The sequence below is a fragment of the Homo sapiens genome, chromosome 17 (assembly GCF_000001405.40).
Source record: "Homo sapiens chromosome 17, GRCh38.p14 Primary Assembly".
Lineage (NCBI taxonomy): Eukaryota > Metazoa > Chordata > Mammalia > Primates > Hominidae > Homo > Homo sapiens.
In genome coordinates this window covers 8,836,790-8,858,329 of record NC_000017.11, presented here as the reverse complement: position 1 = coordinate 8,858,329, position 21,540 = coordinate 8,836,790, and the positions used below count along the sequence as shown (strand labels likewise).

General features: G+C 44.3%; 1 protein-coding gene across 22 annotated transcripts in view, besides 1 other annotated feature; it reads left to right on the top strand.

Annotated features, from left to right (window-relative positions):
* PIK3R6 (phosphoinositide-3-kinase regulatory subunit 6) overlaps nucleotides 1-21,540 on the top strand; it is a 64,956-nt gene that overhangs the window by 9,348 nt on the left and 34,068 nt on the right. For 16 of the 22 annotated variants that reach the window (XR_007065269.1, XM_047435450.1, XM_047435452.1 and 13 more), the window contains exons 2-6: nucleotides 8,445-8,548; nucleotides 18,633-18,716; nucleotides 19,675-19,766; nucleotides 20,459-20,527; nucleotides 21,407-21,539. Coding sequence is in view for 19 of the 22 variants with exons in the window: in XM_047435450.1 (XP_047291406.1) it covers nucleotides 8,536-8,548; nucleotides 18,633-18,716; nucleotides 19,675-19,766; nucleotides 20,459-20,527; nucleotides 21,407-21,539 (391 nt within the window). In the remaining 3 variants the exon portion in view is untranslated. Of the gene's footprint in view, nucleotides 1-8,444; nucleotides 8,549-18,632; nucleotides 18,717-19,674; nucleotides 20,035-20,458; nucleotides 20,528-21,406; nucleotide 21,540 lie in introns of those variants that run through there. The other 6 variants (XM_047435453.1, XM_047435457.1, NR_110865.1 and 3 more) reach the window with 5 other exon arrangements.
* Nucleotides 20,698-21,504: an enhancer, noted in NCBI's record as "H3K4me1 hESC enhancer chr17:8740143-8740949 (GRCh37/hg19 assembly coordinates)". NCBI's record gives its function as "activates a minimal SCP1, AML or CMV promoter by ChIP-STARR-seq in primed H9 embryonic stem cells {active_cell/tissue: H9 hESC(primed)}" and the evidence as "EXISTENCE:reporter gene assay evidence [ECO:0000049][PMID:30033119]".

The window sequence follows — 21,540 nt, the reverse complement described above, 5'->3', positions numbered from 1 at the left end:
AAAAAAAAAAAAAAAAAAAGATTAATTGAGAAAACATTCAGAGGCATGGTTTGGTGCTTGAAAGGGCAAGCTTTATTTCCTAAAAAATTCTTCTCATTCCTGAAACGAAGACACATTTGATGTTGATGCATTTTAAGAATGAGCTGCTTCTATTTCCATTTCCTGTCTACGTGCAAGCTCATCCCCTGGGGGCTCTTCCCCCACACTGGTGTGGTCAGCAGCCCCAAAGGACAGGAAATCGACCACAAAGGTCTCCTGTGGGAGGAGCAAGGAAGCAGCACCTGCACAAATATATAGAAACGCTGAATAAATGTTTGATGAGTGAATGCGTGAGTGAATGAAGGAATGAGCAAATGAATAGGGAGGCTTTCTGACAGTTACTGGTAAAGTTTCTTAGAATTTTACTTTCCCTTTTTTTTTTTTTTTTTTGAGACAGAGTTTCACTCTTGTTGCCCAGGCTGGTGTGCAGTGGCACGATTGCAGCTCACTGCAACCTCTGCCTCCCGGATTCAAGCGATTCTCCTGCCTCAGCCTCCCAAGTAGCTGGGATTACTGGCACCTGCCGCCACACCCAGCTAATTTTTTGTATTTTTAGTAGAGACGGGGTTTCACCATGTTAGCTAGGATGGTCTCGATCCCTGATCTTGTGATCCGCCTGCCTCAGCCTCCCAAAGGGGAATTTTACTTTCAATTAAAAATCAGCCCAGAAGCACTCTCCATTTGCCACAAAAATTCCTGGTATCTTACACTTCTCTTTTAGTCTTTATCTGTGAGATTTCTTTTCTTTCGAGGCTGCCCCGTGTTCATTATTAACCCAGGCCGCCCCAGACAGAAGTTTGTGTTCATTTTATTTCACAAAGACAGAGGGGGGTTCTGTGAGGTTTACAGAGGGGAAAGGAAGGCATGCGGACGTCAGGGGAAGTGGCCATGACCCCACGCCCCAGGTTGAGATCTGGGCTCTAGCCCTGGTTCTATCCTTCATGGCCACGTGGCTTTTGGCAATATTCTTCACTTTCATTCATTCATCAAATATTTATCTAAAATAGGTATTCATTGTCCACTGAGTGGCTGCTGCCCTAGATGCTGGACATGCTGCAGTGAAGGAGACACGCCCCATCCCAGTATTTGCCGAGTTCGCATTCTAATGACTAGCCAAGAAAACTAAGCCTGACAGGAAAAATTTCCATACTGATAAATGCTATGAATAAAATCAGAGTGTGCTAGAGTGTGACAGGGAGGGCTATTTTGGACAGGATGTTCAGGAAAGGCCTCTGAGGCAGTGACATTGACAACAAGACCTGAATGTCGAGGGGGAGCCAGCTGTGGGGAAAGCTGGGGGAAGGGTGCTCCAGGCAGGGGTGTGCAAAGGTTACGTTAAACCCACAGCACAACGTTCTTAAATTGACTGGCGGGCTCCCAGATGTTCATGTAATTACTATGTCCCTGAACATAATATATTAGCTCTCTTCTTTTGTGTGTGCCATCTGTTACACAGTAAAAAATAAGGTCAAATATACTTAAGATTAAGAAATCAGAAAATGTAGAAATGTATTAAAAATTACCTGTGACCCCACTGTTTATGGGTAAGTAATATCACTTTTTTTGTAGTTTAGTGTGTATCATTAAAAGGTAAGAGACTGACACACACACAAGTACAGGTGAAACTGGGGAAATCGGAATAAAATGTATCGACATCAACATCCTGGGGTTTTTTGTTTGTTTGTTTTTGAGATGGAGTTTCACTCTTTCACCCAGGCTGGAGTGCAGTGGTAAGACCTCAGCTCACTGCAAACTCCATCTCCTGGGTTCAAGCGATTCTCCTGCTTCAGCCTCCCGGGTAGCTGGGATTACAGGCACCTGCCACCATGCCTGGCTAATTTTTGTATTTTTATTAGAGACGTGGTTCCACCATTTTGGCCAGCCTGGTCTCGAACTCCTGACCTCAAGTGATCCACCTGCCTCACCATCCCAAAGTGTTGGGATTATAGGCGTGAGCCACCACGCCTGACCAATATCTTGATTTTGATACAGTAACATTGTTTGCAAGATGTTATCACTGGGGGGAAACTGGGTAAAGGGTACCCAGAAACTCTGTGCTATTTCTTGCCACTGCATGGGAATTTACAGTTATCTCAGAATTAAAAGTTTGACTAAAAAAGAGATAAAGACTCCTTTATCTGACACTGACCTATTTTCTGACCCTGTAGTTTTTATTTTCGTTTCTAGAATGTCATATAAATGGAACCATACGGCATGCAGGATTTAGCGCCTGGCTGCCTTTACTCAGCATGTCTCTGAGATTCACGCGTGTCGTTGCACGTAGTTCTCTTTTTAATGCCGAGGATTCTGCTGTGTGGGTGTATCACAGTTTGCTCATTCACGTACCCACTGAAGGCATTTGTGTTGTTTCCAGTTTGGGGCCATTCTGAATAGAGCTGCTATATATATCCATGAGCAGGTGTTTGTGTGAACATAAGTTTTTATTTCTCTGGAGGAAAAAGCTAGGGATTACGGGATCATACAGTAAGTGACGCATAACTTTATGAGAAATTGTCAAACTGTTTTCCAGAACGGCTGTGCCATTTTGCATTCTCACCAGTAACGTATGAGAATTCCAATTCCTCCTGACGGGTTGATGGGTGCAGCAAACCACCATGGCACGTGTATACCAATGTAACAAACCTGCACGTTCTGCACATGTATCCCAGAACTTAAAGTATAATTTTTAAAAAGAGAGAATTTCAGTTCCTCCGTGTGCTCTCCAGCACTTTCTATTGCTCATTTTAAAATCTTAGTCATTCTAATAGGCATATAGTGAGATCTCATGGTTTTCATCTGCCTTTCCCAAACTGCTGATAGCATTGAGCATTTTTTTAATGTGTTTATTTGCCATCCACATATCTTTTTTAGTAAAGTATTTATTTAGATCTTTTGCCCATTTGGGGAGTATTATTTGTTTTCTTACTGTTGAATTTTGAGAGTTATTTATTTATCCTAGTTTTCTTTTTTTTTTCTTTGTCAGATGTGATTTGCAAATATTTTCTCTAGGTCTATACTTTGCTTCTTCATTTTATTTTATTATTTTATTTTATTTTATTGTTGTTTTGTTTTGTTTTGTTTTGTTTTGTTTTGTTTCTGAGATGGAGTCTCGCTCTGTCACCCAGGCTAGAGTCCAGTGGCACGATCTCAGCTCACTACAACCTCTGCTGCCCGGGTTCAAGTGATTCTCCTGCCTCAGCCTCCTGAGTAACTGGGATTACAGGCATGAGCCACCACAGCCAACTAATGTTTGTATTTTTAGTAGAAATGGGGTTTCACTATATTGGCCAGGCTAGTCTTGAACTCCTGACCTCAGGTGATCCACCCACCTTGGCCTCCCAAATGTTGGGATTACAGGTGTGAGCCACTGTGCCCGGCCCGTTTTTTCATTTTGTTAAAGGTATCTGTCATAAAACCAAAGTTTTAAATTTTGATGAAGTCTAATTTGTCATGTTTTTCCTCTTATGGATCATGCTTTGGTATTGTATCTAAAAACTTCTTCCTTCACATGAGGTTACAAGGATTTTTTCCTATGCTTTCTTCTAAAAGTTTATTGTTTTGAATTTTACATTCAAATCTATGTCCACTTTTAGTTTATTTTTGTGTAAGGTCTGGAATTTACGTCAAGGTTTTGCTTCTTGTTTTGCATATCGATGATCAATTGTTCCATCACCATTTGTTGAAAAGACTCCTTTCTCCATTGACTTGCCTTTACAACTTTATCAAAAATCAATTAGCCATATCTGTGTGGGCCTGCTTCCGAACTCTTCGTTCTGTTCCATTGATTTATGTGTCTAGCCCTTCACTAATAACTTTATAGTAATTCTTAAAATAAGGAGTGCGAAGCTGAGCGTGGTGGCTCACACCTGTAATCCCAGCACTTTGGGAGACCGAGGCGGGAGGATAACGAGGTCAGGAGTTCAAGACCAGCCTGGCCAACATAGTGAAACCCTGTCTCTACTAAAAATACAAAAATTACCTGGGCATGGTGGCGTGTGCCTGTAGTCCCAGCTACCTGGGAGGCTGAAGCAGGAGAATTGCTTGAACCCAGGAGGCGGAGGTTGCAGTGAGCCAAGATCACGCATCGCACTCCAGCCTGGCGACAGAGCAAGACTCCGTTTCAAAAAAAAATAAAAATAAAGGAGTGTGAGTTCTCAGGCATTATTCATTTTCAAAACTGTTTGGCTAATCCAATTCCTCTGCCTTTCCCTATAAACTTTAGAATTGACTTATATGTATCTACAAAAAAAAATCCTGCTGGTATTTTTATTGGAATTACCTTAAATATGTAAATGATTTTGGAGAGAATTGACTTTTTTTTTTTTTTTTCAGACGGAGTCTCTCTCTGTCACCAGGCTAGAGTACAGTGGCATGATCTCAGCTCACTGCAACCTCCGCCTCCTGGGTTCAAACGATTCTCCTGCCTCAGCCTCCCGAGTAGCTGGGACTACAGGCGCATGCCACCACACCCAGCTAATTTTTTCCATTTTTAGTAGAGACAGGGTTTCATCATGTTAGCCAGGATGGTCTTGATCTCCTGGCCTCGTGACCTGCCCCCCTTGGCCTCCCAAAGTGCCGGGATTACAGATGTGAGCCACTGTGCCTGGCTGAGAATTGACATCTTAACTATACTGGGTCTTCCAAACAATGAACACAGTATTTCTCTCCATTTATTTAGGTCTTCTGTGATTTATCTAATTAGCATTTCATAGTTTTCATCATATGGCTCCTGCACGTTTTGTTAGATTTATCTCTAAATATTTATTTATTATTTTATTATTATTATTATTATTTTTTTTTTTTTTTGAGATGGAGTCTTGCTCTGTCACCCAGGCTGGAGTGCAGTGGCACAATCTCGGCTCACTGCAAGCTCCACTGCCCGAGTTCACACCATTCTCCTGCCTCAGCCTCCCGAGTAGCTGGGACTACAGGCACCCGCCACCACCCCTGGCTAATTTTTTGTATTTTTAGTAGAGACGGGGTTTCACCATGTTAGCCAGGATGGTCTCCATCTGCTGATCCTGTGATCTGCCCCCCTCGGCCTCCCAAAGTGCTGGGATTACAGGCGTGAGCTACTGCGCCCCACCTAAATATTTATTTAAAAAAAAAATTTGGAGCTATTGTAAATGGTATTGTATCTTCCGAATTCAGCCAATACAGATGTACACCATAATTTTATAACTGCATAGTATTTTGTTGCACAGATTAATTTATTTACTTGGTACTCTATAATTGTGCCTTTATTTTTTTTTTCTGGTTGTACTCTATTGTTAACAATGTTTTAATGAATGCTGTTGTACATATCATTTATCCATTTGTCCAATATTTCCCTTCAGATAGGTTTTTAAAGGTCGAATTGCTTAGACAAAAAAGTATGAATATTTTGAATTTTGATAAATATTGTCCAGCAATCACCCAGAAAGGCTATACTAATTTCTCTTCTCACCAACTATGTATGACTGGAAATTTTCTCATATCCTATCCTTGCCAATACTGGATGTCATTATCTTTTGTCATAATTTTTGCCACTCTCTCTCTTTTTTTTTTTTTTTGAGACAGAGTCTCCCTCTGTCACCCAGGCTGGAGTGCAGTAGCGACATCTTGACTCACTACAACCTCCACCTCCCAGGTTCAAGTGATTCTCCTACCTCAGCCTCCCAAGTAGCTGGGATTACAGGCACACGCCACCACACCTGGCTAATTTTTTTATTTTTTAGTAGAGACGGGGTTTCACCACGTTGGTCAGGCTGGTCTCGAACTCTTGACCTCATGATCCGCCCACCTCGGCCTCCCCAAGTGCTGGGATTACAGGTGTGAGCCACCGCACCTGGCCTGCCACTCTCATTTTAATATTCATTTCTATGATTGTCAGTAGGCTGAAATTGTAGTACATTATAATTACAATCCATTGCTGAATTCAATGAGTTGATATCTACTTTTAAATGTTATATCGATATTTGCATGTAAGTGTGGTCTAGTTTGCTATTTTGGTAAAATATGGATATGTAAAATTTACCATCTTAACCATTTTTAAGTATATAATTCAATGGCATTAAGTACATTCACAATATTGAGCAACCATTACTGCTATCCATTTCCAGAACCTTCTCATCATTCCAAACAGAGACTCTGTACCCATTAAACAGTAACTTCCCTTTCATCCCTTCCCCAGTCCCTGGTAACCTCTGTCATACTTGCTGTCTCTGCCTCTGTGAATTTGCCTATTCTAGGTATCTAATATTAGTGGAATTATACAATATTTGTCCTTTTATGACTGACTTACTTCACTCAGCATAATGTTCTCAAGGTTCATCCATGATGCAGCATATATCTGAATTTCATTCCTTTTTAAGGCTGAATAACTTTCCACTCTATGTATAAATCATATTTTGTTTATCTGTTCATTGCTTCTCTGTTGATGGACATTTGAGTTGCTTCTACCATTTTGCTGTTTTGAATAATGCTTCTATTAATATTGGTGTGCAAGTATCTGTTTGAGTTCCTGTTTTCAATTCGTTTGGGTCTTTACCTAAAAGTGAAATTGTTAGATCATGTGATAATTCTATGCTTGACTTTTTGAAGAACATGCCATACGATTTTCCACAGCGGCGATGCCATGTTGAATTCCCACCAGCAATGCACCACATCCTCCCAGAGTCTGCGCCCCAGAGCAATAAACTCAATGACTGGAAAGCAGGGGGACTCCAAACAAATCCAATTTCTCCACATCCTTGCCAATGCTTGTTATTTTGTGGTTTTTTGTTTGGTTGGTTTGTTTTGTTTTGTTTTGTTTTGGGACGGAGTCTCACTCTGTCGCCCAGGCTGGAGTGCAGTGGCGCGATCTCGGCTCACTGCAAGCTCCGCCTCCCGGGGTTCACGCCATTCTCCTGCCCCAGCCTCCCAAGTAGCTGGGACTACAGGCGCCCACCACCACGCCCGGCTAATTTTTGTATTTTTAGTAGAGACAGGGTTTCACCATGTTAGCCAGGATGATCTCCATCTCCTGACCTCGTGATCTGCCCGCCTCGGCCTCCCAAAATGCTGGGATTACAGGAGTGAACCATCGTGCCCGGCCGGTTTTTTGTTTTTTTGTTTTTGTTTTTTTTTTCTGTATATCTAAAATGGTCATTCCAATGGGTGTGAAGTGCGTGATCCATTTTTTTTTTAACTACCTTTATTAGATTTTGGTATCAAGGTGAAGCTGGCCTTGTCCAATAAACTGAGAATCTTCTCTTCTTTCTCCATGCTTTGGAGCAGATTAAATAACGTAGATATTTTCTTTGTAGGTTTGAAAAAACTTATCAGAAGAACTATCTGAGCCAGACACCACTCTCTTAGAGCTAGTTCTTTGACAACTGTCTCTATTTCCTCACTGGTTACAAATATAAGCAGTTTTTCTAACTCTTCTAGAGCCTTTTGAGTCATTTTTATTGTCCTAGAAAACCATGTGCGACACAGGGGACTCAGATTTTCTTTTTTGGTATAAAGAAATATATATATGACATTTATCATTTCTAATATTGTCTCTTCGTTATCTCTTTTTAGATTAGCTTTCCCAGTTATACGTTTGTTTGTTTGTTCGCTTGTTTTCTCTCCAAAAACAATCTCTTAGGTTTATTTGGAGTTCCTCTGCGTTCTAGTCATTGGGTTTATCGCTCTGGGGAGCAGACTCTGGGAGGACCTCCCACTGGGGTCACAGTGGAGCAGACAGAGGTCATGCTTAAGGGAGGGCTCTAGAGCCAGACGGTCTGAGTTCCAAGTCCTCATTCCTTGCTTACTAGCTATTTAACTTTGAATAGCTATTTACCCTCTCTGTGTTTCAGTTTCCCCATCTGCAGAACTGGGGAGGGGGGAGAGATAGAACCTGCCTCATAAGCTTAATATTAATATTAAAAAGTTGGCATTTCTTAAGTGCTTAGAAGAGTGATGCCTGGCACATAGTAAGCACTATATAAGTTTTCTCTTTTTTCTTTCTTTTTTTTTTTTTTTTGAGCCAGTCTCACCCTTGCCCAGGCTGGAGTGCAATGGCACCATCTCAGCTCACTGCAACATCCGCCTCCCAGGTTCAGGCGATTCTCCTGCCTCAGCCTCCTGAGTAGCTGGAATTACAGGCACCTGCCACCATGCCCAGCTAATTTTTTGTATTTTTAGTAGAGACGGGGTTTCACCATGTTTGTTGGGCTGGTCTCGAACTCCTGACCTCAAGTGATCCACCCGCCTTGGCCTCCCAACGTGCTGGGATTACAGGCATGAGCCACTGCACCCAGTCATAAGTTTTCTTAAATACATCTAGACTTCCCCCCAGTGTGCTAGAAGCCTAGGTCCCTTAGGAGCTTCTCCATTTCCCAAGGTGCTTTCTGCACCTTCCCACTGCTTCCACTAATTAACTACCTCTTATTTTGCAGAACCACCTCTGTGCAGAAAAGCAACCACCTTGTTCTCTATTCTGCTGCCCGAGACAACCACATCCTCCTCCTCCTACACCCAAAGGCTCCCATGGAGAGCTCAGGTCAGTGTGGTGGGGGGAAAGGGGTCTAGTGAGCCTGCTGCCGAGTGGGGAAGGCCCTTCTCATGGGTGAGGATGCCTCTAGGGCTGGCAGGACCCCCTGCACATAGACAGGCTGCAAGACCCCAATTCAGGGATCCTGCCTAAATGTAAGAACATCTTGAGAGTTGGACATCTACACACTTGCACAAGGCTCCAACTGCTCGCTGGACACTGAGCTTGACAATGGGAATAATGACAAGAATAGCCAAGATTGATTGCCAAATACTTGTGACTATTTAACAAAAACCTATATAGCACTTACAATGGATTGAGGAGGGATAAAAGCACTTGACAAATATGAACTCATTTAGTCTTGGTTAACCTCCTAAGACAGGTATTATTACTCTCGTTTTACAGGAGGGGAAATGGAGGCATGCCAGGGGCAGGTACTTTTCCCCCAGTCACATAGCTATTGAGTGGTCAAATCAGGAGTGGAACCCAATAGTCTAGCTCCAGTGTCTAGGCTTAATGATTTCAGTATGGATTGCTTCGCAAAAATGCCAGAAGGATTCTGTGAGGTGGGGCTAGCACGATGATTATCCTCATTTTTCTGAGAGGTAAACTGAGGCTTGGAGAGGTTATATAATTTGCTCAAAGCCACACAGCTAGTAAGTGGCAAAGCCAGAAAGTGGGGCCTAGTCCGGCTGATTTTCAAAGCCTGGACTCTTACCCTAAGTCAACTTGGGACAACAGGGAAAGATGACCAACCCCCACCAAGATGTGTGTCATCTATTGGTCACCCGGAAAGTCAAAGATCACACCTTAGGCCACCACGCTGAGACTCTAATTCCCCTAAAGATCCATCTCCTGGGGAAGGGAAGGGCATCCCCTAGGCAGGGTCAGCTGCTCGGTTGCTAATATTCCTATGGCATAAATTCTTTTGACATCCATCCATCCAACCATCCATCCATCCTCAGAGAGCCTCGTCCAATCAGAAGTAGCTCCATGGAGTCAGGCAACCCCAGTGAATCCTGGTGTTACAATATTCTGGGTCATCTGTAACCAGCTGGGGTTTGGGGTGGGAGGCTCGGAATGGGGAAGCTCTGTGAAAATCTCCTAAATACAGTCAGGCACTGCATATTGGCAATGTTTTGGTCAACGACGAGCCTTATAAACAGCAGCGGTCCCATAAGAGAGTACCATATTTTTACTGTACCTTTTCTATGTTTAGATATGTTTAGACACACAGATACCATTGTGTGACAACTGCCTACAGTACTCAGTGCAGTCACACGCTGTGTAGGTTTGTAGCCTAGGTGTGTAGTAGGCTATGCTGTGTAGGTTTGTGTAAGTGCACTCTGTGATATTCATACAATGATGAAATTGCCCCGTGACATATTTCTCGGAACATATCGCCGTAGTTAAGTGACACATCAAGGTATTTCAAAACCAACTTACTTTGCACTCACTTTATAACAATAAATACATGCCATGCTGTCTTTTAGGAAAAGAGGTGCACCAATAAAGGTTTATTATATATAAGCAATAGAAACTGATGTGGCCAATTTCATTTTTTAAAAATGTGGCCAAGCATCAAAGGAAAAGCTGAAGCACCAGACACCAGAAAGGGCAGGGGAAGGGTAGCCCTGCCAAAAGGACGGAGAGAGATAGACAGTGTCCTTGGAGAGCACACCAGGCGTCCTTCCCTCCTGGCCATTCTCTGAAAAAGGCTGTCTGAGAGAGACAGAGACAGAGAGTATCAGTCCTTGGGCAGCTTGGTCCTGTGCCCACACCAAGGCTGAAGCTAAGTAGGCACCTGGGTCACAGTCCCACCAAGACTGCAATAAGCAGGGAGGGATGCTGGGCAGGTGAAACCACTGACTTCCCCCTCCAAAGGTGTGGCAGATGATTCCCAGATCCAGTGGATAAAAGGAAACATCCCCAAATCAGGATGACCAGGACTGCAGTTGTCTTTCCACATTATGATTTTTTTTTTTTTTGAGACAGAGTCTCTCTCTGCCACCCAGGCTGGAGTGCAATGACACCATCTCGGCTGACTGCAACTTCCACCTCCCAGGTTCAAGCGATTCTCCAGCCTCAACCTCCCAAGTAGCTGGGATTACAGGCATGCACCACCATGTCCGGCTATTTTTTTTGTATTTTTAGTAGAGACGGGGTTTCACCGTGTTGCCCAGGCTGGTCTCGAACTCCTGACCTCAGGTGATACACCTGCCTCGGCCTCCCAAAGTGCTGGGATTACAGGCGTGAGCCACTGTACCTGGCCTGTGATTGTTTTTAACACTCTCCACCTTCCCACAGCTCTTGGAGTCCTCCCATCCTACAGTTAAGAAGAGGGGTACCTGAGAAGTAAAATATTTATTTCAGGGTATGCAAAAGAGCAATATTTCAGAGGCACTAAGGCTATTGTTATTTTGCCATGCCTGCAAACAGGAGTAAGATTGCAAAGGTTTTCCAAACAATCTGAGCCTTTATACTGCATAGGGGTAAGGAGGATCAGGTGTAGGCTGGAGGAGGTGCATCTGGGTACTGGGGGCCCTCTAGGTGTGACTTTCTGTGGTTGGAGAGGCAATATGTGACAAAGGTAAGGGCTCTAGACCTGGAATCTATCAAACAGGGAGAACAGTATTTGTCCTGCCAAACTCACAGGGTGCTTGTCAGAATCAAGTGAGATAAGACACTGGAAAACACTTTACATATCCATGAGTCAGTCAGAGAATAGTAGCTGCTTTAGCAAATGGCCCCAAATGTCAGAGGATTAAGACAACACATGCTTATTCTCACTCTCACCACAGTCCAATTTGGGCTTCAAGCAGGCAATGAGACTTATTCCCTCTTGTGGAAAGGGAAGAGGAGTATGGAGGACAGTGCAGGGAACACAGGCCTACAAGGGACTTAATCACTTCCACCACATTCCATTGGCCAGAATGCAGTCACATGGCTATTATCTAACTGCAGGGGAGTTTGGGAAATGTAGTCTTGCTGTCTCTTGGTGACAAAAATGAACTTGGTCTGGTGAGCACATAGCATCACCTTACCATACCTATGGAAGATTCTCTGTGTGTATGCCTTTCAAGTGCTGTTTAAATGTCAGATATCCAAGGAGGTGAAAGATCTTTACAAGCAGAAGTACAAAGCACTGCTAAAAAGAAATTATAGATGACACAAACAAATGGAAAACTATTCCAATGGTCACGGATTGGAAGAATCAATATTGTTAAAATGTCCATACCGCCCAAAGCAATCTGCAGATTCAACACTATTCCTATCAAACTACCAATGTCATTTTTCACAGAACTAGAAAAAAACTATTCTAAAATTTATATGGAACCAAAAAAGGGCCCAAATAGCCAAAGCAATCCTAAGTAAAAAGAACCAAGCTGGAGGCATCACATTACCTAACTTCAGACTCTACTACAAGGCTACAGTAACAAAAACAGCATGGTACTAGTATAAAAATAGACATATAAACAATGGAACACAATAGAGAATCCAGAAATAAAGCTACATACCTACAGCCACCTGATCTTTGACAAAGTTGACAAACATAAGCAATGGGGAAAGGACTTTCTATTCAATAAATGGTACTGGGATAACTGGCTAGCCATATGCAGAAGAATGAAACTGAACCACTACCCTTCCCCATATACAAAAATTAACTCAAGATAGATGAAAGATTTAAATGTAAGACCTCAAACTATATGAATCCTAGGCAACACCATTCTAGACATCAATCTTTTGAAAGAATTTATGACTAAGTCCTCAAAAGCAATTGCAACAAAAACAAAAATCGACAATTGAGACCTAATTACACTAAAAAGCTTCTTTTTGTTTTGTTTTGATTTTTTGAGACATAGTCTCGCTCTGTTGCCCAGGCTGGAGTGCAGTGGCGTAATCTCAGCTCACTGCAATCTCCACCCCCCAGGTTTAAGCGATTCTCGTGCCTCAGCTTCCTGTGTAGCTGGGATCATCATTACGCCTAGCTAATTTTTGTATTTTTAGTAGAGACAGGATTTTGCCGTGTTAGCCAGGCTAGTCTCGAACTCCTGGCCTCAAGTGATCTGCCCCCCTCTGCCTCCCAAAGTGCTGGGATTACAGGCATGAGCCACCGTGCCTGGCCTACACTAAAGAGCTTTTGCACAGCAAAATAAATTATCAACAGAGTAAACAGACAACCTACAGAATGGGAGAAAATATTCACAAAGTATGCATTCCAACAGAGGTCTAATATCCAGAATATATAAGGAATTTACACAACTGATTAAGCAAAAAACAAATAACCCCACTTAAAAAATGGGTAAAAGACATGAACAGACACTTCTCAAAAGAAGACATACAAGCAGCCAACAAATATGGAAAAATGCTCTACGTTACTAATTATCAGAGACATGCAAATCAAAACCATCTCACACCAGTCAGAATGGCTACTAGTAAAAAGTCAAAAAACAACAGATGCTGGCAAGGCTGTGGAGTAAAGGGAATGCTTATACACTGTTGGTGAGAATGTAAACTAGTTCAGCCACTGTGGAAAGCAGTTTGGAGATTTCACAAAGAACTTAAAACAGAGCTACCATTCGACCCAGCAATCCCACTACTGGGTATATATCCCCCCAAAAACAAATCATTCTATCAAAAAGACCCATGCACTTGCACGTTCATTGCAGCACTATTCACAAAAGCAAAAATGTGGCATCTACTTAGGTGCCTGTCAACAACAGACTGGATAAAGAAAATGTGTTACATATACAACATGGAATACTATGCAGCCATAAAAAAGAACGAAATCATATCCTTCGTTGCAATATGGATGGAGCTGGAAGCTATTACACTAAGCAAATTAATGTAGGAACAGAAAGCCAAATACTGCATGTTCTCACTTATAGGTGGGAGCTAAACTTTGGGTACTCATGGACACAAAGATGGCAACAATAGAAACTGGGGGCTACTAGAATGGGGAGGGAGGGAAAGGGGCAAGAGTTGAAAAACTAGTTAGTGTGGGTACTAGTACTACTCATATGAGTAGTACTATTATTAGTAACAGTACTCATAGTACCTAGGTGATGTGATCATCCATACTACAAACCTCAGCATCAAGCAATATATCCGGGTAACAAACCTGCACATGTACCTCCTGAACCTAAAATAAAAGTTAAAAAAATTTTAAATAAAAAAAGTTTAATATTAATAATAATATTAATACCTAATTAGTAATATCCCACATTCCTGGATGCAGAGGAGGATAATAATAATGGATGCCATTTATCTATTGACTATTCGAGTCATCAAGGATGTTAGACCTGCATACCATATGTGAACAATGCTGAGCCACTTGAGTCACAGGAAATATCCCATTTCTTTCTTCCATTTAATCAAATCAAAACCAGCTTCAACCTCTCATATTCCAAGGTTAGGATGAACTCTAGCATCATTCACTTGGAGTGCTTCCCCCTACGTGGGAGTTTGTGAGAAGCTCAGGGTTTATAAAGTCTGGGTAGTGGGAAAAGTCTGTCGTCTCCAGTCCACGGTGGCTACAGCCACCAGAACTGCTTGGCCAGACTTGCAAGGTGCAGAGGGAGATAGAGCCTGCCTTGAGGGACATTCTCGTGCTCTGGTGAAGATGGCTCAGGAGACCTTTGCTGTGGCATCAGAGGCACAGGGCTCAGTGCTTAGCGGCCTTCATCTGACCTTTGCCGCCACTGGTAAGCTTTGTCCCAGCCGGTCTGATTTTCCTCATTCCCTGGAACCCTATATCCCTTGTGCGTTCACAGTCTTAGGGAATCCAACCTCCACCCTTGGGCTGGGCCACTCTCCTCTTTAAAAGCATCAACCTTCTTCTGCACCTTTTTAGACAATCCAGCTTGATTGGCTCAATCAACTTGCCAGGAGCCTCAGACTCAGTGCCTCCAGGGGCCAGGCAGAGGATATAAATGAGTGAAACCGAGGCATGGGGAACTACAAAGACCTAGAGAAGCTGTGCCTATCTAAGGGGGCAATTGCTCCCCACCCCCTATGATTGTCACATGTGAGAAGAATCCAGGTTCGGTGTCAGCAGATTGTCAGATTTTCGAGAGATGCCAGAAACCCAAACGTTATGCAAAATCTCCTGACTTGTAAATGTTGGCAGCTAATTCATTGCTTTTTTTTTTTAAGACACTATACAAGCCCAAACAAAACACATAGCAAGCCAGATGTGGACCAAAGCCTGAGAGTTTGTTTTAGCTACCCAGACATTCAAAAACAAAATTTATTTGAAGTGGTCTCCCAGGGCTACTGGCAACTTCTCTATTTTTCTGTGAAACATAAAAATTCAACTTCCCTTGCAAAGCAAGGGGACCCAAGCTCAGAAGACAAAGGCTTGGCTGTGCTTCTGATGAGGGGAATGAGAGGAAATCACATTTGTCACAGTTTTCAGCCTTTCTTTGCAAATATACAATGGAAGACAGAATAAGAAAGAGGAAGAAGGAAGGAAAAAAGAAAGGAAGGAAGGGAGGGAGAGAGAGAAGGAGGGAGGAGAGAGAAAAAAGACTTAGCACCAGCTAATTTTCTAATAACTCATCCTGCATTAACTCATTAAATCTTCATGCAAGGTGGAAATGCATAGACGGAGGAAAGACTGTGACCAACCTTCATGCTGAGCTAAATGATTTCCTCAACAGTCTGGGGAGATGATGCTCTGCCCAGCAGAGGGACCAGGTGGGCAGATGTGGCTGTAGTATCCTGTCCACTCTCAGCCTGGAGGAGATTCAGGACCAGGCCTTGCCAAGTGGGGGCTTCAGGGATGTGGACCCCGTAGGCTTTGCATGGGTCTGAGGAGGGGCCAGACCATGAGCACTAGCACCTATGGTGACTTGGCCTAAAAATATTTTAACTCTTGGACTGCAATCTGCTGATTTTTAAATTTGTTATCTCTATTCTACTTACTTCCAAAGGAATCTGAAGCAATTCAGATATAGATTAAATAGAATATAAAGCAGGAGGACCAAAAAGGAGCCAAGAAGAGAGATCCCTGTCACATGAGATGAGCTAATTTTTGAGGCTGGGCCCCAATTTGACCGTAAGTTTCCTGATAGCCCAGTCAAAGAGGAACCCTTGGGGCATGTGGTTTGTGTTGTCTGACAACTGGAGAATACACACTCACCTATAATGGCAAACTCTTGGTGGGAGCTAATTGCAAAGAGGAATTTATTGTGTGAGGAGTGTTTCCCGTACTTCTTGTCTGAGTCTGGATCTGCCAAGAAGCAGACACCAAGTTCAAGGATTTATTTGGGGAAACACTTGTGTGACAGAAATGGAGAGGGACCTGGGAGAGCAGCTGTCAGACCCTGGTGCAAATCTGACTCCAAATGAAGGAGAAAAGGAAGAAGGGTCAGTGGAAATGCCTTGGACTGATGGGAGTCCAAGAAAAGCTCAGCAGGGCAGTTGGAGAAGCTTGAGCGTCTCCTGGGGAAGGTCCTGCTTTAGAACCACTACCATACCGTGTATTTTGGCTGGGAGGCGTGGCTCAGCAGAAAGTGATGGATTTCACAGCTGTCTTAGTCTGTTTGCATTGCTATAATATAAAGGAATACCTGCAGCTGGGTAATTTATAAAGAAAAGAGGTTTATTTGGCTCAGCGTTCTGCAGGCTGTACAAGAAGCAGGGTGCCAGCATCTGCTTCTGATAAGGGGCTCAGGGCTCAGGAAACTTCCACTCCTGGTGGAAGGGGAGCCAGTGTGTACAGATCACATGCTGAGAGATGAAGCAAGAGAGAGGGGGAAGGTGCCGGGCTCTTTTTAACAACCAGTTCTCAGGGGAACAAATAGAATGAGAACTCACTCATTACCGCAAGGATGGCATTCATGAAGCATCCACCACCATGACCCTAACACCTCCCATTAGGCCCCACGTCCAACACTGGGGAACAAATTTCAATATGAGATTTGGAGGGTCAAATATCCAAACCACTGCAACAGCACAGCAACTGGGGACCTGGTTCCATTAAACTCCCGGTAGTGGGAGAGGAGCGAGGTACATTCTCACAGCTACCACACTTCCCAAATGTCAGTTGCTTATTCTTGTACCACTTTCATGGTTTTTTTTTTTTCCCATGTCAACGTACCACTGTTAAAGAAAGAAATTATTCTGGAACTTATTAAATGGTAAGGAAGACTTATCCAAGACTATTGCATTAGGAAAGAGAAAGCAGTCTCAACTTGGAATAAAGAAAAGCCAGTTGGGGATTTATAGCCAATGAGCAGAGTGAAGGGGTCAGCGGATGGAAAATTCCTAAGAGGAGACATCAAGGGTCGGGACATTCTTGCTAAACTGAGCTAACAGGATTTTTGCTAGAGGCACAAGTCAAATTCTTATACATCGACGGTAAGGGATGAAGGGGTTCAGGAGATATCAAGAGTGGAGGACTCCAACCTAAACTGATTTGGCAGGATTCTTGCTAAAACTGGGATGGGCAGGCCAAAGGCAGGACAGGAGCCAGGGCTGAGCCCTAGTGAAGAAGAGGGCTAAGAGGAGGCTGAGTAAGGTTTGGTCAAGGAGAGAGTCTTTGTTACCACCTGTCCTGGTATGTATCTGATACGATTCTTTAAATTGACTTTAGATTTTAGCTTTATACTTGGGGCGGGGGGTGGAGACTACCAGAAAAGACAGGGTGCTGTAGGCTTCAAAAAAATAAATAAATAAAATAAATAAGTTTTAGCTTCATGCATGGATTCAGGAACTACTAAAAATAATGGCAAAGGCTTGGCGTGGTGGCTCATGCCTGTCATCCCAGCACTTTGGAAGGCCGAGGCGGGCAGATCACGAGGTCAGGAGATTGAGACCATCCTAGCTAACACGGTGAAATCCCGTCTCTGCTAAAAATACAAAAAATTAGCCAGGCGTGGTGGCAGGCGCCTGTAGTCCCAGCTACTCGGGAGGCTGAGGCAGGAGAATGGCGTGAACCCAGGAGGCGGAGATTGCAGTGAGCCAAGATTGCGCCACTGCACTCCAGCCTGGATGACAGAGTTAGACTCCGTCTCACACACACACACACACACAAAAATAATAATAATAATGGCAAAAACTGCAATTACTTTTGCACAAACCTAATAGTTTTTTATATATATATTTTATATATATATATTTCATATATATTTGGAGGATATATATATTTCATATATATTTGGAGGATATACATTTCATATACATATTTGGAGGATATATACTTCATATACGTATTTGGAGACTGTATATATACTTGATATACATATTTGGAGGCCATATATATATTTCATATATATTTGGAGGCTATATATATTTCATATATATATTTGGAGGCTATATATATTTCATATATATATATTTGGAGGCTATATATATTTCATATACATATTTGGAGGCTATATATATTTCATATACATATTTGGAGGCTATATATATTTCATATACATATTTGGAGGCTATATATATTTCATATACATATTTGGAGGCTATATATATTTCATATACATATTTGTAGGCTGTATATATTTCATATACATATTTGTAGGCTGTATATATTTCATATATATATTTGTAGGCTGTATATATTTCATATATATATTTGGAGGCTATATATATTTCATATATATATTTGGAGGCTATATTTCATATATATATTTGGAGGCTATATATATTTCATATATATTTGGAGGCTATATATTTCATATACATATTTGGAGGATATATATATTTCATATATATGTTTGGAGGATATATACATTTCACATATATATGAAAATACATACATGTATTTTCTAACATGCATTAAAATAAATGCATAACTATTCAGATTTTAAGGTCGTTTGTGTACCACCTAAAATTGTCCTACATACCACCAGTGGTACACATACTGCACTTTGGGAAATGCAGGTTTTACAAAGAACACAGAAACGTGGAAGGGAAGGCTATATTCCAGCCCTGGCTGGCATGCTGGCTGCCAGCTCTAAGTCGATTACTTCGGGCACCTCCTGAGGCTCAGAGAAATGGCTAAAGACACTCTCGGAAGGAATGGAGGTGGGACGAGGGTGAGGTTCAGTGGACTGAGTTTCCTCCCACCCCTACCACTGCCCAGATGTGGAGCTGGACCTCCAGAGGAGCGTGCAGGCTGTGCTCCGGGAGCTCAGCACCCAGGCCCCTGCCCTGCAGAGCAACCAAGGTAAGAGCCAGCTGGCAGCAGCAGCTGGTCCCTCTGACCTCCACCCAACCCCAGCCAACAATACACGCGCATACAGGAAAGAGCCCCGGCCTGGAGCTCAGGGGGCAAGGGTCGTCTCACCAAACCCCTTTCCTGCTGGAAATACCTAGAGCCTGAAGGACTGAGAAGGCTTCTCTGCTCCCTAGTTCAACCCTCCCAGCAACTGCCACAGAGCACATTGGGGATCTGCCACCCTTTTTCTTTCCTTTTTTTTTTCTTTTGTTTTTGAGATGGAGTCCTACTCTGTCACCCAGGCTGCAGTGCAGTGGTGCAAACTCGGCTCACCACAACCTCTGCCTCCCTGGTTCAAGCGATCCTCCTGCCTCAGCCTCCCAAGTAGCTGAGATTACAGGCGTGTGCCACCATGCCCTGCTAATTTTTGTATTTTTCGTAGAGATGCAGTTTCACCATGTTGGCCAGGTTGGTCTCGAACTCCTGACCGCAAGTGACCCGCCTGTCTCAGCCTCCCAAAGTGCTGGGATTGCAGGCATGAGCCACGGCACCCGGCCTGCCACCCTCTTTGTTAACCACCTTCCCTAGCTCCACTTCCAAACCTAATTCCCCTCAGCACTCCAGGCCTGCAGGACTTCCAGAATGTGGCTCGGAGCACACACCTGCAAGCACTGCTGCTCTGTGGTCCACACGCATACACCTGTCACACACCTGTCCCCACTGGTGTGTCCCACCTGCCCTCCTTTCTGCCCTGGGAATTCACTGTCCACAAAGGGCTACAGACTAGAACTCCCCACTTGGGAGGAGCCCACCCAGGTGCACCTGGAGCCAAGCGCTGGTGGCGGGGTCACACCCGTGGCTGGTCAGAGCTGCAGCTGAGGCTCCAGGGCTCAGGGTCCTGCTCAGAGGGGTCTCCTCTAAGAACTGCCCACCTGCTCATGCCGGGCTCCCCTTTCTCCTGGCCCAGGCATGTGGAGGTGGTCCCTGCACAAGAAGGTCGAGCGAGATCCCGGTAAGAGCCCAGTGCTGGTCCGCATTCTTCTCAGAGAACTGGAGAAGGTGAGTTCCTGGACCTCAGGGAGGAAGACGGGGATGAAAGGAAGAGAGGGGCCAATTGGGCAGGGGCTCAGTCCTGGCAGCGCTATATCTCATAAGCTTTGGTTGCCTGCATGATTTTTACCATATGCATCTCCCTCCTGTACTTTTACGTAAGCAGTATTTTCTTTACGTCGACTCTCATTGTTTTACTTGAATAAACATCTTTCAAAAAGAAGCACTATAACGCGACCACAAATGGAAAACCCGCATCACTTGTCAGAAACAGAAGGTACCTATAAACATAAATATACGACTATTGACGTTTCTCAAAATTATCCTCGGGCCACCTAAATTCTCCTTCACACTACCCAATGTTGTACTTTGCAACCGTTTGGGAAACACTGCACTCAAGGGAGGCTCCGAGCTGAGGACTTGTTTGTTGCTTTGCTGCGACTCCTACCCTAATTAAATTTGGCCCCTCACCTGCAGAGTTCTCTGAGGCCCCCCCACGCTCCCACACCCTCACTGAGGGGCTTCCTCACCTGTGTGCCCTCCCCTCCCCACTCCTCTATCCAGAGCAGACAATGGCCCTTTGCTCTCCCCCTGGCTGCCTTCCACCCCATCTCCTGCCCACTCCCAGCCTAGACTGCCTCCCGCTATGAAGTGGGGATTCCCCCAGCCCAATACCTGTCACGTGATCTCCTGTTTTCCAGGCGGAAAGCCAGGACCTCCGGCATGTCATCATTCCCTTGCTGCACACTGTAATGTACGTGCTCACCAAGGTGAGCTGGGGACTGAGGTCGAGGTGGTAGTGGTGACCTGCATGTGGCTGGGCTGGACACTCTCCCCTTAGTGGGCACTCAGTCTCCGCCAGGATGAGCCTAGAAAATCCCTTGGATTGCCTGCCCTAAACTGGCTTCTGAGCACTAGCCACCCCCTTTCCCTCCCATATGGAGAGAGAACTCTGGAGAGACAATGGCCTTGAAAGGCAGGATGAGGTCTTTGGGTTTGCTCCTGTGTGCAGTGCAACAGGAGACATCACTGATCCCTACACAGAGAAGAGACATGATACTCATGTGGTTAATGTCTCAGGAGGAGTAATCGGGAGCTGCGTGTTGTTGCAGCGGGTGGGAGTGGTGGTTAAGGCAGGCAGGAAGACCAAGTCTGGGGTTGCTGGAGAGTCCAGGGTCAAGATGGGGCTTAGCTCCGGCAGAGACGGAGGGCACACTGAGGTCGGGAGGGAGAGGGGGGCCTCCCGGGCACTGTGGAGCATTTCAGGCCTGTGGGATGCAAGGAGGAGCAAAGGAGACTGAGGAAGTGCCTCCATGGTTTTGAGCCTGGAGAACCGCAGGAATGTGCTTCCCTGATGGAGCAGGAGGGCTGGGAGGAAGTTGATTTGCTTGCATAACTTGATGCAATGAATTTTTATCTTGGTAAGTTGGGGCGGGGCGACAAATGGATGTCTTACAGGTGCTGGGAGAAGAGGCTGGAAGGTGTGGGTTTGGGAGAGAGCTGTGAGCCCAGGTCTGGCTGTTAGGCCTGACCTTCCACCTCTTCTCCCAAGCCCCTCCCCGGAAACTCCCCCGGGACCCTTCACCTCCCCCTCCTCCCTCTTACCTCCACCTCCTCCCTCTCACCTCCCCCTCCTCCCTCTCACCCAGGCCACAGGAATCACAGAAGAGCTCTACCAGAGAATCTATGCCTTTTGCACAAGGTTACTGACCCTGCCCACCCCCTACTGCACAGTCGCCTTGGACTGCGCGATAAGGCTGAAAACGGAGATGGCTGTCCCAGG